Source organism: Homo sapiens, chromosome 1, assembly GCF_000001405.40.
Source record: "Homo sapiens chromosome 1, GRCh38.p14 Primary Assembly".
Taxonomy (NCBI): domain Eukaryota; kingdom Metazoa; phylum Chordata; class Mammalia; order Primates; family Hominidae; genus Homo; species Homo sapiens.
Window position 1 is genome coordinate 77970187 of NC_000001.11, and position 14510 is coordinate 77984696.

At 41.1% G+C, this 14510-nt stretch overlaps 2 protein-coding genes across 35 annotated transcripts in view, besides 6 other annotated features; one reads left to right on the plus strand and one right to left on the minus strand.

Annotated features, from left to right (window-relative positions):
• The window catches only part of FUBP1 (far upstream element binding protein 1), a 35447-nt gene extending 26132 nt beyond the window's left edge, over window positions 1-9315 (minus strand). For 22 of the 31 annotated variants that reach the window (NR_146539.2, NR_164756.1, XR_007064844.1 and 19 more), the window contains exon 1: window positions 8699-8886. Coding sequence is in view for 16 of the 31 variants with exons in the window: in NM_001376056.1 (NP_001362985.1) it covers window positions 8699-8818 (120 nt within the window). In the remaining 15 variants the exon portion in view is untranslated. Of the gene's footprint in view, window positions 1-8698; window positions 8887-9210 lie in introns of those variants that run through there. The other 9 variants (XR_007064840.1, XR_007064839.1, XM_047433487.1 and 6 more) reach the window with 1 other exon arrangement.
• Window positions 8450-8499: an enhancer, noted in NCBI's record as "active region_1223". NCBI's record gives its function as "activates an Ori minimal core promoter by ATAC-STARR-seq in GM12878 lymphoblastoid cells {active_cell/tissue: GM12878}" and the evidence as "EXISTENCE:reporter gene assay evidence [ECO:0000049][PMID:35858748]".
• Window positions 8570-8619: an enhancer, noted in NCBI's record as "active region_1224". NCBI's record gives its function as "activates an Ori minimal core promoter by ATAC-STARR-seq in GM12878 lymphoblastoid cells {active_cell/tissue: GM12878}" and the evidence as "EXISTENCE:reporter gene assay evidence [ECO:0000049][PMID:35858748]".
• Window positions 8630-8689: an enhancer, noted in NCBI's record as "active region_1225". NCBI's record gives its function as "activates an Ori minimal core promoter by ATAC-STARR-seq in GM12878 lymphoblastoid cells {active_cell/tissue: GM12878}" and the evidence as "EXISTENCE:reporter gene assay evidence [ECO:0000049][PMID:35858748]".
• Window positions 8700-8829: an enhancer, noted in NCBI's record as "active region_1226". NCBI's record gives its function as "activates an Ori minimal core promoter by ATAC-STARR-seq in GM12878 lymphoblastoid cells {active_cell/tissue: GM12878}" and the evidence as "EXISTENCE:reporter gene assay evidence [ECO:0000049][PMID:35858748]".
• DNAJB4 (DnaJ heat shock protein family (Hsp40) member B4) overlaps window positions 8989-14510 on the plus strand; it is a 38790-nt gene continuing 33268 nt past the window's right edge. For 2 of the 4 annotated variants that reach the window (NM_001317100.2, NM_001317101.2), the window contains exon 1: window positions 8989-9433. The gene's annotated coding sequence lies outside the window, so the exon portion shown is untranslated. Of the gene's footprint in view, window positions 9434-9997; window positions 10137-14510 lie in introns of those variants that run through there. The other 2 variants (NM_001317102.2, NM_001317099.2) reach the window with 2 other exon arrangements.
• Window positions 9140-9289: an enhancer, noted in NCBI's record as "active region_1227". NCBI's record gives its function as "activates an Ori minimal core promoter by ATAC-STARR-seq in GM12878 lymphoblastoid cells {active_cell/tissue: GM12878}" and the evidence as "EXISTENCE:reporter gene assay evidence [ECO:0000049][PMID:35858748]".
• Window positions 9300-9359: an enhancer, noted in NCBI's record as "active region_1228". NCBI's record gives its function as "activates an Ori minimal core promoter by ATAC-STARR-seq in GM12878 lymphoblastoid cells {active_cell/tissue: GM12878}" and the evidence as "EXISTENCE:reporter gene assay evidence [ECO:0000049][PMID:35858748]".

Sequence of the window (14510 nt, forward strand, 5' to 3'; positions counted from 1 at the left end):
GGCAGTTAACATAATAATCATAAGATTATTAAACTTCTGATACATCCCTATAAGAAGCAACAAAGAAGTAATCAACTAGGAATCCGGAAGAGAGACCAGATTTAAAGAAAATCTGGATCCTATCTGGCTCTGTCATGACACTTCAAAAGATGTGTGTAAACACATAGAATGTGAACACTTTGTGGGACTCAAAGGCTATGCTATCTAGTAAGGTAGCCACTAGCCATATGTGGTTATTGAGTACTCAAAATGTGACTAGTCTGAAATGATACTTGCTCTAAGTGTAAAATTACTCACTGAATATTGAAAACCTGGAATATAAATCATCTTAAATTTTTATATTAAGCACATGCAAAGGGGGTAATATTTTGGATATGCTGGGTTAAACAAAACATGTGGCTCACATTGTACTTCTATTGGACAATGTTGTTCTAAGGATATATGTAGGAGTCCAGGGAGCTCGAGTCTTAAAAAAACCTCAGCTGCAAAACCATAATTCTTAGAAGATTTTTAAATTTTAGAGTAGGGCAAATAATTTATTGCACCTGACTGAACCAATTTAAGAAATACCCAGCTTTGCTGTCATGGTGGCTCATGCCTGTAATCTTAGCACTTTGGGAGGTGGAGGTGGGTAGATTGCTTGAGCTCAGGAGTTCGAGAGCAGCCTGGGCAACATGATGAAACTCCATCTCTACTAAATACAAAAATTAGCCAGGTGTGGTGGTGCACGCCCATAGTCCCAGCTACTCGGGAGGCTGAGGCACGAGAATCACTTGAACCCAGGAGGTGGAGGTTGCAGTGCACCAATATCATGCCCCTCTTGGATGACAGAGCAAGACTGTTACAAACAAAACAAAACAAAAAAAATAAAAAACAAAAAAAAAAACCTGGCTTCAAGTCACAAGTAGGGCACAATCAGCAGATACTTACTGAATTTTTCTATAAAAGGACAACCGAAGTAGTTCCCATTTCCATGGGGAATCATGGAGTGGTTCTGCCACATTGCTGAGTGGTCAGCAATAGGCCAAGCTCCACACTGCAATGCTGTACATTCATTATTGATGTGTGATGGGCTCATGAGAATTTATTATATAATTCTTTCAATTTTGAGTATATTTGAAATCTTCCATGAAAAAATATTAAAGAAAACCTAACTTTTGGTGACTGGGATTCCCCAAAGAGATCCCCATATGGATAACTGCTTCAAGTTTTTATTATCATCAGACAACTGGAGAGGGTAAAATTATAGTTAAGTGCTGAAGTCATAAATTCAACATGGATCACTTAAGTCTATGTATCAGTTCCCATATACTAACTTCATCAGACAACTGGAGAGGTTAAGATTATAGTTAAGTGCTTAAGTCATAAATTCAACATGGATCACTTAAGTCTAATTACATATCAGTTCCCATATACCAACTGTATTTCCTAGGACTCATAGATTTCCCTTTTCCTCATCTAAAAATGCAAACACCTACCACAAAGATTATTAGGATCAAGTACTAGATTGCTTGATAAAAAAAAAAAAAGGTACACTCTCAGCCGGACACAGTGGCTCATGCCTGTAATCCCAGCATTTTGGGAGGCCAAGGCGGGCAGATCACTGAGGTCAGGAGTTCGAGACCAGCCTGACCAACATGGAGAAACCCAGTCTCTACTAAAAATACAAAGAAATTAGCTGAGCGTGGTGGCGCATGTCACCCAGCTACTCGGGAGGCTCAGGTGGGAGAACTGCTTGAACCCAGGAAGTGGAGGTTACGGTGAGCCAAGATCACGCCACTGCACTCCAGCCTGGGCAACGGCATGAGACTCTGTCTCAAAAAAAAAAAAAAAAAAAAGGTAAATTCTCGCTTTGGTCAATCTAACCTTCTTTAACCATCTTTCACTTTACCAATTACAAACCTGTTTTTGTTTCTGGGTGTCTAATTTAAATCTTATTTTCCTAATAATGCCTGAAAACACTGCTTTTCCACCCTTAGGTCTTAAAGCACTTAGCATTTGAATTGTTCCTCAGGAAAGTAAATACACTGCTGGGTATCGACAGGCACTAATAGTAGAAGGAAAGTATTTCAGGCCAGAGAAAATGGTGCTACCAAGAATAGGAAACGGTTTAGCCTATGAATACCTTCTGCAGTTAGCTTTTATAAATACTCTATGAGTTTGCAAAGCAGCACTCCTTGAACTCCAAGACACTTCTATACAGAGAAAAGACACTTATTTATACAACTTTACCCACTGAATAGTTCAAAAACTAACCAAATGAAAATGAAAGCTGAGGCCAGGCGTGGTGGCTCATGCCTGTAATCCCAGCACTTTGGGAGGCCGAGGCAGGGCGGGGGGGATCATGAGTTCAGGAGTTCAAGACCAGCCTGACTGACATGGTGAAACACCACCTCTACTAAAAATACAAAAAAAAAAAAAAAAAATTAGCCAGGCACAGTGGTGCGCACCTGTAATTCCAGCTACTCGGGAGGCTCAGGCAGGAGAATCACTTGAACCCGGGAGGCAGAGGTCGCAGTGAGCCAAGATCGCACCACTGCACTCCAGTCTGGGTGACAGAGCGAGACTCTGTCTCAAAAAAGAAAAAAAGAAAAGAAAAGAAAAGAAAAGAAAAAATGAAAGTTGACAGTTCACACTAAAGAAACAGTAACAGCATTTCAAAAACTGAGAACTGTTACAAAGACATTAGAGAAAAGTGTTTAATAAAAATACCAATAAAGAAGCCAGGCTCAGTGGCACCTGCAGCCCCAGCTACTTCAGAAGCTGAGATGGGAGAACTGGCTGAGGCCAGGAGTTCAACGCTAATACAGCAAGACTCCATCTCTTAAAAAAAAAAAAAAAACTGAAAAAACAAAATGAACTGTAGATTTGATAATTTTCTAAGATCTATAGAAAATACACAATTCCTAGGTGACTACAAGGATAGTTAATTTAAGAAAAATAGTAATTCCTAAAAACCAACCTCCAACTATATTCAACTCCTTTTTCAGAGTACTTGAACTCAACATATTCAATTTTTATTAGACATTTATGAGGTGTGGGAAACTTTTTACTTTATTTAATTATTATTATTATTTGAGATGGAGTCTCAAGATGTTACCCAGACTAGAGTGCAGTGGCGTGATCTGGGCTCACTGCAATGTCCGCCCCCCAAGTTCAAGCGATTCTCCTGCCTCAGCCTCTCGAGTAGCTGGGATTACAGGCGCCCGCCACCATGCTCAGCTAATTTTTGTATTTTTAGTATAGACAGGGTTTCACCTTGTTGGCCAGGCTGGTCTTGAACTCCTGACCGCAAGTGATCCACCCGCCTCAGCCTCCCAAAGTGCTGGGATTACAGGCGTAAGCCACCATGCCTGGCTACTTTATTTAATTTTAGTTTTACAAAAATAATTCAAGCTTTCCATCTGGACCATTATCTACTTCTTGAATGAGTAAGTTATTTTTCCTGTTTTCACTACTTTAACATTTCTCACCTCTATTGAGGAAGCCAAGAGGTGAGAAATCCAAGAATTTGGGAGTTGAAAAGAAACTTAAAAGACACAGTAGTCTCTTTATCTTCAGTTTTTGCTCTTCACGGTTTCAGTTACCTATGATATAGTACAATCAGATATTCTGGGGTAGGGGAGGGTCCCCTCATTCATATAACTTATTATAGCATATTGGTTTAATTTTTTTTAAATTTGCCCTTCTTGTCCAGTAATACAGTGTATTGTTGTAATTGTTCTATTTTATTTTTTTAATTAAATTAAAATTTTGAGACAGGGTCAGGCTGTTGCCCAAGGATGTAGTGCAGTGGCACGATCATGGCTCACTTATGCAACTACATAAAGGACCCAACATTGTCAACATTCTAGACTTGACCTCCCAAGTTCAAGCAATCCTCCCACCTCAGCCTTCTGGATAGCTGGTACTACAGGCAAGCACCACCACGTCTGGCTAATTTTTTGGTTTTTTTTTTTTTTTTTTTGAGATGGAGTCTCGCTCTGTTGCCCAGGCTGGCATGCAGTGGCGCGATCTCGGTTCACTGCAAGCTCCACCTCCCGGGTTCACGCCATTCTCCTGCCTCAGTCTCCTGAGTAGCTGGGACTACAGGCGCCCACTACTCCCGGCTAATTTTTTGTATTTTTAGTAGAGACGGGGTTTCACCGTGTTAGCCAGGACGGTCTCAATCTCCTGACCTCGTGATCCACCCGCCTCAGCCTCCCAAAGTGCTGAGATTACAGGCGTGAGCCACCGCGCCCAGCCTATTTTTTGGTATTTTTTATAGAAACAGGGTTTCACCATGTTGCCTAGGGTGGTCTCAGACTCCTGGGCTCAAGCAATCTTCCTGACTTAGCTTCTCAAAACACTAGGATTACAGCCATGAGCCACCTTGGCTAGCTGATTTCTTTTCAAAGACAACGTCATAGTTAAAGTGTTAAGATTATAGGTGTGAACCACTATGCCCAGTCTTGCACTAATTTATTATTATCGTTAATACTGTGTCTGATTTAGAATTTAAACTTTATAGATACATATGTATAGGAAAAAATATTACCGTGTATATATTGGATTCAATACTATCTGTGGTTTCAGATATTCACTGAGGTTCTTGGAATGTATCCTCCGAGGTTAAGAACAGACTATTGTAGTTTACTTAATTAACTTCTGAGACTCAGAAAATCTCTAAAATCAGGTGGTATGATCAACTATAGTCCCTCAGTATCCCTGGGGGATTGGTTCCAGGAACCATGCAAATACCAAAATCCACAGATGCTCAAGTTCCTTATATAAAATGGTACAGTATCTGCATATAACCTACGCAAATCCTTCAGTATACTTAAAGCATCTCTAAATTACTTATAATACCTGATACAATGTACATAGTTGTTGTATTGTTTTTATTCATATTACTTGTATTGCTGGACTGTTCTTCCATTTTTCTAATATTTCTGATCCATGGTTGGCTGAATTTGCAGATGCAGAGCCCACAGATACAGAGGTCTGACTTGTACTGTAATTCATTAAAAATGTTTATTGATTTAATTCAGTAAATGTTGAGTACCTACTATAGGCAAGGTCCTGATGGAGTTAGTAGTTCCCATACACCAGACATGTGAAGAAACGTGGACACTAGAAATATTACCATACCATAACTTGCTTATCACAAGCCTTGCTAAACTGTCACAAAATGATTTAAAAAAAGAATCATGCTCAAATGTTAGTTTTCACTGAAGAGACTGATGGAAATAAAAAAAAAAACAGCTCTAGTCTATATTTTCATTTCATTCAAACAACATTATGCAGCCTAAATCACTTTTATAACTGTCAGAGAAGAGACTGCAAGAAGGATCGAATACATAATGACTAATTTCATAGTTGTCTAGAGGGGAAGGGATGAGGGTTAATAGTCTCGCTTAGCTAATCATCTAGTCTGATTCATTTCTACCTTCATATAACCTCGAGGAAAAAAACGGTAGATAAACACATTTTAATTTTCCAATGTTCTAGAGACAGAAGTTGCTATTAGTACCACTGCTAAAGACCCAATCAAACAATCCCAATCTCTGGAGTTACAGCTTGATATACACAAAAATAAATTTCTTAAGTGCACAGGCTGGAAACCCTGAACTAAAGCAGCAATCTGGTGTCCCTGTGTTGAATTTAGCTCAGGATATTATAAAAATCTAAAAATTTCACATAAAAGCCAGAAAAAAAAAAAGAAGATTGGCAACTAAATGACCAGATGTCAACAACCAGCTAGAGTTAACATTACTGGCATTACCAGGTACGGACCAGGAATCATAATTACTTGTCCTGCTTTTCTGAATAACAACTATCCAGCTAAAAATACCAATGGCATCCCCACTGGTACAGCCTTTGAAGCTCCTTGAGAGCAGGAAACTATGCCTATATCTCTTCCTTCCAAAAACAAAAACAGCATAGTATTCTAGACAAAGAAAATAAACTTAGGATTAGTTGAGGATTCTAGAAACTTAAGTCAATATTCTCTTAAATACACAAGGAGGAAGTAGTTCAGATATTAACCTAACTTTTGTCTAAGTACGCTTCTGTATATTCCACTTATATCATCAGAGTAACAGCTACAACTGACATTTAGAGATATCATCAAATGTAATGGGTAATTCCAGGCAAAAACTAAAGTTAGGGAGCTCAGATTTAAGATCATTTTTATAAAGAAATCATTACAGCAAAGACATCAGGACAACTGATCTATTAGCATTATACAACAATAAATTTCACAATTTGCCAACAATTTCTATATTTTAAGAAGTATAAAGAAATTATGGCTTAGCCTAATAATAAAATCCAATTTTTTTTTTTTTGAGACAGGGTCTCGCTCTATGACCAGGCTGGAGTGCAGCAGCGTGATCTCCACTCACTGCAACCTCCACTTCCCAGGTTGAAGCGGTTCTTGTGCCTCAGCCTCCCAAGTAGCTAGGACTACAGGCACAGGCCACCAAGCCCGGCTACTTTTTGTATTTTTTGTAAAGATGGGGTTTCACCATGTTGGCCAGGCTGGTCTTAAACTCCGACTTCAAGTGATCTGCCTGCCTCAGCCTCCCAAAGTGCTGGGACTACAGGCGTGAGCCACCGTACCCGGCCTGAAATCCAATTTTTAATTAAAGCATTGCAACACAAGGTCTTCCAGTATCTGGATCCGCTTGTACCTTTCCTTGCCTCGTTTCACGTCCTCCCACCCCCATCTTCTAGCGACTTCACTTCTGGGTCCTTGCCATTCCCTCAAGTCCCCACACCTCTGCGCATGCTGCTTCTTTTCTTCACTGGCCAAACTCTCTTTCATTTTATAATGTCTTGCTCATATATCACCTTTACTTAGGAAATTGGGCATCCCCTCCTAACAAACTCTATAAACACTTATAAAGCAAGTGGATGAATTAAATATCCATATTTTGTCTGCTCTCGTTAAAGTATTAATCAGATAATCCTGTTCATCTGCATTTGGTCAAGGAACTATATCATAGCTTCTTAGTAGGAAACAATTCATGCATTAAAACAAACAAACGAAAAAAAACAAGGCCGGGCGCAGCGGCTCACGCCTGTAATCCCAGCTTTGGGAGGCCAAGACGGGCGGATCACGAGGTCAGGAGTTCGAGACCAGCCTGGCCAGCATGGTGAAACCCTGTCTCTACTGAAAACAAACAAACAAACAAAAAAAACACAAAAAATTAGCCGGGCATGGTGGCGGGCGCCTGTAATCCCAGCTACTCGGGAGGCTGAGGCAGGAGAATTGCTTGAAGCCGGGAGGCAGAGGTTGCAGTGGGACGAGATCGCACCACTGCACTCCAGTCTGGGCGACAGAGGGAGACTCCGTCTCAAACAAAACAAAACAAAACTCCAGTATCTACCTACAGTGTGCGATACCAATTAATCCAATGTGCTGGTTCTGGTAAAATAAAATAGTTGGTTCCAGTAAATAAAATAGTTCCCTTAAGTTTTACAAATCAATCTAATAAAACACGCTAAGAGTGTTTGTCATAGTTATATGCTTGTTGCTAAACATGTTCAGAATTTCTTAAATTACGTGGAAAAAACCGCAGAACTAATATTAATGATGACCTTTTGTTGACTACTCCTAGTATTTCTGGTTATAAAAAAGTACAGGTACATGTTTATAATGCGTTCACATTAGATGTGTTACAACGGATTTTATGAATTCTAATTTTGACTCAATGTTCCTTCAACTGTCCCGGTAAAAAGTTAACTAAGTGAACTCCTAATGCAACGAAAACACAGCACAACACTGGTTTCTAATTATCATTAGCTTAAAACTAGTAAAAAATGCCCAGCACCTAGTACAATATGCATAGTGTCACAGAGAATAGGATTCTTTTGCTTACATGCAAATCTATACCAACACCATACATTTTGAAATGTTAAATATATTAGGGGACTATCTAAGAATGTAAAGTTCAAATTAAGGTATCTTTTATTTTCCTGGAATACACGCACTATTTTAACAGCTTTCGTCTGGGAAAGTGGTGCCTTCAGGGCAAATGCACGCACTACGTAATACAAAGAGGTCTGGTCAGTTTACGACTCTGAACTGAGAGGCAGATTCAAATTGAAACCTCTGGTATAATGGGCCTGAGGCCATTTTGAGAAATAAGGGGGGCGGACTGGTGGAACAGACTGACACGTAAATCCCGCCCAGAAAAAGGCTGCTTTCAAGTCCCTTCCTTGTAGAGGTGTGACGGTGAATGGTACTGAAAGCGGTTTTAATTGCGAGAGAGAACGGAAATGAGCTGTAAAGGCTACTTTAATGATAAATCCCTTCCCTTGCTATGGCTCCAGGACAGACCCTAGTTCTTTCCCAAACTCATTACCAGAACCTTCCATTAAATTGTGTGAAACTAACTGCGCTTTATCCCCTGGAAGAGGATCTTTATCTAAACTAGCTCACTGGAGACACGCGAGTGCCGCAGAAGCGGGAGAAAGACTTCAGGCCTTCTTTGCGTAGCACGCGTCGGGGTTCTAAGTGGATTAGGCACCAAGAACACAAAACTGGGTTCTGGTCTCTAATCGTTATTACCAACATGGGGAAACGTGTCTCTTCACATTTCAGCCCGGAAGAACACCTCTTTCCTCTTCCTCATGCGCTTAAGGGTAGCGGCCTACTCAGTCAGCGGCCAATTACCGTGAGCTTTCGGGATTCCGCCGCGCGGTCCACACTTACCTGCCGGGCTCTCTGCAGTGCATCTTTGAAAGCGTCGTTAACTCCTCCACCACCACCGCCGCCACCACCGCCACCAGCTGAGCCAGAAGAGGGGGGAGGCACTGTTGAATAGTCTGCCATGGTTGCACTATAAGAGCCGCTGCCGCCTGTTCAGAGACTTCCTCTCAGCTAACAGCTAAGAAAGAAAGAAAATGGCGGCCGTCGAAGCTCTATTACATTCTTGCGCGACCATCGTGCCGTAAAGGGGCGGAGACTGAAGGAACAAAATCTCGCGATGTTTCCGAGGCAACGCGCTGGTGTGGGTTAGGGCTGAGAAAGAACGACAGGAACAGAGACGTCGCGAGGATTAAGTTTAAGACTTCGCGAGAACAGAATTTCTTTTGGCACCTCCTCTCCGCGCGTTCTTGGGGTGAGGCTGGGTAATTGTTCCTGCAGGGTGGTGGGTGATAGTGGCCAGTTGACTGCGACTGTGTTTGGGTGGTGGGAAGCCTGAAGAAAAGGTTGTTTCTTACCGGTCGCTGCCTCAGGGAGGTAGTGCGGTAGAATTTTCCGCTATGGGTCATTCTCGGTGTCCGCGGGGAAGGGCGTGACAACGACGGGCGTGACGGCGAAGCAACAGTGTCTCGAGAGCGCTGCCGCCCGGAGGGCGCCAGGAGAAGTGCGTCCGAGACGCCGCGCGGTGATGCTCCTGAAAACGTCTGCCCGGCGTAGCGGGAACCCAGCATGATTTTCAGGGTAGTAAAGTGTCCCTGTATTTTACTTACAGACTGTCCGATTTTTTAGTTTTATCACGAGGGTGGGTGTTGAATTCAGGCTGGAAGCCTGTTAGTTCTCGACCATATTTTAAGTTTTTTGTTTAAAATAATGTGGATGAGGCTCTAAAAGTATGACTGCCCTTTTCTTTATCCAAAAACGTGATTGTTCTTAAAGTTCAGTGTTAGCCAGATTTAATAACCTAGTATATGTATGTGTCCATGGCCATTTTTATTAAGGGTTTTTTTTTGTTTGTTTGTTTGTTTTGAGAGTCTCGCTCTGTTACCCAGGCTGGAGTGCAGTGGCGCGGTCTCGGCTCACTGCATCCTCCGCCTCCTGGGTTCAAGCGATTCTCCTGCCTCAGCCTCCCGAGTAGCTGGGACAACAGGCGCCTGCCACCACGTCTGGGCTAATTTTTTGCGTTTGTAGTAGAGACGGGGTTTCACCGTGTTAGCCAGGATGGTCTCGATCTCGTGACCTCGTGATCCACCCGCCTCGGCCTCCCAGAATGCTAGGATTATAGGCGCGAGGCACTGCGCCCGGCCTGTTAAGGTCTCTTAAGTTAAGAACAGCATTGTTTCTTGACCAAAATAGATTTTGTAGCTTCTTAGGCGTAGTTTCTCCCACCCCATCCTGTGGGTACTCAAATGTAAGATCATATTCTGAATTGTCATCACAGGACTAGGTATATATATATATATATGTGTGTGTGTGTGTGTGTGTGTGTGTGTGTGTGTAAATTGGTATTTTATGTTATGTACTTCAGTTACCAAGTAATGCCAGACATTTCTTCAGACCTTCTCCAACATATCGTGGCATGTAATTTACTGTGTTAATAGTAGTAAGCTCCAGGAATCGTGAGGATACTTTAGAAGTCTTACTCTTTATTATTGAGTATATCACAGTGACTTTTTTTTTCCAAAATTATTTGTTTAAATAACAAACAATGAGGTAAAATGAACTTTCTCGACTTTGTGGCATTTTGTCTTACTTGGTTAGGTCTAAAAAAATACTTTTTCAGCAGCTCTTAAGAGTAATTGTGAGAAATATATATATGCTGCATTCTTTCTGAAAACCTAAAAGTAATGTGTTCATTTGCTTAAGCACCAAAATAGCAGTTAATATGAATGTAGATACAGGTGAGCCATCATTTCCCTTTAATCAGCTTTTAAGGCAGTAGTATCCATTTATAGCTCTGATGATCTTTTTCAGTGTTCATGGCCATCCCTATAAATTTTGGTGGAATTTGCATTTGAAAAATCAGTGCACGTATGGGACTACAGATTTAATCATAATGTATAGAAAAACAGTAAAAGCAGTGTTGGGTGTGCGGCTAGGTAGAAATTTTCCAGTTGTATTTTGAAAATGTCTTGATTTTTTCATATTTTATTAATTAGGCAATACAATCAGATCTTTTGATCAATGTAATTTACCACAGTGCTATAATTTACCCTCAAAACAAATTTATGTATATCTCAATTTATTTTAGTTATCACTGAATATTGAAAATATGTAAGGACCTCAATTTTTTTTTTTTTTTTTTTTACATACTCGCTCTGTTGCCCAGGCTGGAGTGCAGTGGCACGATCTTGGCTCACTGAAACCTCAGCCTCCCAGGTTCAAGAGATTCTCCCACCTCAGCCTCTGGAGTAGCTGGGATCACAGGTGTGCACCACTATGCCTAATTTTTTTTTTTTTTGAGACGGACTCACCCTGTCACCCAGACTGGAGTGCAGTGGCATGATCTCGGCTCACTGTAACCTCTGCCTACTGGCTTCAAGCAGTTCTGCCTCAGCCTCCCGAGTAGCTGGGATGACAGGCACCCACCACTACGCCCAGCTGATTTTTGTATTTTTAGTAGAGACAGTGTTTCACCATGTTGGCCAGGCTGGTCTCGAACTCCTGACCTCATGATCCACCCTCTTTGGCCTCCCAAAGTGCTGGGATTACAGGCATGAGCCACCGCGCCCAGCCACAATAAAATTCTTGATAGCTTAATCTTTTGGAAAAATTAATGCTTGAGACAAAGGTTCTTTGTGAAAATATAAATAAACTGCTTTTTAGGATCTCTTCAGTGAAGCTGGGAGGAATATTTGGGGGGTTGCTAAGGTGTCATTCCAAACTTTTCAGTGTTCTTCAAATCTAATAAAAGAACAAACATCTTTAGTGTATTATACAAAAGGCCTCTTTGAATATTAATGGAGTATTTGTTTGGTCACTCCACACATTCATTGCCAGGATCTGTCCTTTGATTATGATCATGGGAGATATAACAGGGCATCATAGGATATATAGGAAATAGATTATTAATTTTTAGAGAAAAATTTGGAGCTCTCCACCTCTTCTTGTAAGACAACACTCCCAGCTTTCCATTACTTTAGGTAATAATGTTAGATTGAAAGTTTGGGACTCCTGAAAGCATCTGTCTTAAATAACTGGCCTTATCATCCGGTTCTTAAGTGAGTTTAGCTTATTCCATAGCATACATTACAATAATTTATAATAAAGCTGCTATATACAAATATGCACTAATATACTTGTAATTTCCTGTAAATTGATCCTATACTTGTTTCCTAGATGTTTCCAAACAGCTACCTACAAAACTTTGGTTTTACATGTTGCCTCAAAAACAAAATGTCTAAAATTCATATATTTACTGTTCTTATTCTCCCTTTTTTTGTGGTCAAAACATTTATTGTTTCTTTTCCTATTGGATCATATATTTAGATAATCAGTTCTTCTATTACATTTATCTTTTTCATTAACCTTTAGCTAAATAAATCCAGATTAAAAATAGTCTTTTCTCATGAAACTTAACCTGACTAACCAATTGCAGTGACCTTTTATTTATTCAGTGGTTACCCACATTGGCTACAGGGAGCTTTTAAAAAATATGAAAGGTAGGCTGGGCGAGGTGCCTCATGCCGAGGCGGGTGGATCACCTAAGGTCAGAAGTTCAAGACCAGCCTGGCCAACATAGTGAAACATCGGCTCTACTAAAAATACAAAAATTAGCTGGGCATGGTAGCGGACGCCTGTAATCCCAGCTACTCGGGAGGCTGAGGCAGGAGAATTGCCTGAACCCGGGACGGGGAGGTTGCAGTGAGCTGAGATCGCACCACTGTACTCCATCCTGGGTGACACAGCGAGATTCTGTCTCAAAAACGAAAGAAAGAAAGAAAGGTTAGCCCTAACTCCTACTCCCAGAAACTGATTTAATTGGACTATATGTGAATCCGTAAAAGCTTCCTGGGTTAATGTAGGGGTGGGTTGCCCCTCCACACCTGTGGGTGTTTCTCGTAAGGTGGAACGAGAGACTTAGGAAAGAAAAAGACACAAAGACAAAGTATGCTGAACCAGCGTTCAGCATATGGAGGATCCCGCCAGCCTCTGAGTTCCCTTAGTATTTATTGATCATTCGTGGGTGTTTCTCGAAGAGGGGGATGTGTCAGGGTCACAAGACAATTGTGGGGAGAGGGTCAGCAGACACGTGAACAAAGGTCTTTGCATCATAGACAAGGTAAAGGATTAAGTGCTGTGCATTTAGATATGCATACACATAAACATCTCAATGCTTTACAAAGCAGTATTGCTGCCCGCAGGTCCCACCTCCAGCCCTAAGGCGGTTTTTCCCTATCTCAGTAGATGGAACATACAATCGGGTTTTATACCGAGACATTCCATTGCCCAGGGATGGGCAGGAGACAGATGCCTTCCTCTTGTCTCAACTGCAAGAGGCATGCCTTCCTCTTATACTAATCCTCCTCAGCACAGACCCTTTACGGGTGTCGGGCTTGGGGGCGGTCAGGTCTTTCCCTTCCCACGAGGCCATATTTCAGACTATCACATGGGGAGAAACCTTGGACAATACCTGGCTTTCGTAGGCAGAGGTCCCTGCGGCCTTCCACAGTTTTTGTGTCCCTGGGTACTTGAGATTAGGGAGTGGTGATGACTCTTAAGGAGAGTGCTGCCTTCAAGCATCTGTTTAACAAAGCTCATCTTGCACCGCCCTTAATCCATTTAACTCTGAGTTGACACAGCACATGTTTCAGAGAGCACAGGGTTGGGGGTAAGGTTATAGATTAACAGAATCTCAAGGCAGAAGAATTTTTCTTAGTACAGAACAAAATGGAGTCTCCTATGTCTACTTCTTTCTACACAGACACAGTAACAATCTGATCTCTCTTGCTTTTCCCCACAGGTTAATCCTAAAGTGCAGACACACTTGAGAACCACTGAAATACACAAGTGTACAAGCTCTGGCCGACTTTTGCTTATTTTTAATGGCTTGCAGTTTGTTTCTAGTTATGGGTATATAGTCTTGAGATGAATTCAGGGTCTAGAAACAGCTTTTTTTAAACTGTTAAAATAATTAAATGGGAAGTGATTAGACTGGGGTACCTCCAGTGCCCTGTGTTCCTACATAAGCAAACTGAAACCTAATTCAATGTAAACTGTCTTAACCAATCAGAAACTGCCAATTAACCTTTAACTAGGGACTTTTCACTGGAATGGTCCAAATCAGGCTGTTGCTCCACTTTAATCAAATGTTTTCTTTGCCTTGTTTCTGCATTCATCCTGTGAAAATCCTCCTTATCCCTTCAGCCCTAAGTCATTGAACTACTTTCAATTGGGGTCTGTCCTATTCATGAATCAATTGAAAGTTTTTCTTTTAACTGGACTAACTCAAACTTTTTGTTAGCTAGACTAAGGCAGAGTTTCTTAACAAAAGGTCACCAGCATCATCAAGAGTGCTTTTTAGCCGTACGTGGACCTACTGAATCATGTTTTGGGGAATCTATATTTCTTTCTTTCTTTCTTTCTTTTTTTTTCCAGAAAGCATCATAGTTGATTCTACTCATCAAGATTTGAAAACTACCCTTTTACACAAAACATATTTAATATTTGAGGAATTAAAGTGAATTAAATTTTGTTTCCCTGGCTAGATTGTAGTAAATGTTATGAATACAGAAATTTTGTCTTCTCCCTTTTCCCCTCCTCTGTATAAAAGAGGGCTTGTCAAGGACCGCGTCTTATTCTTTGGTTTGCCCAGTATGCT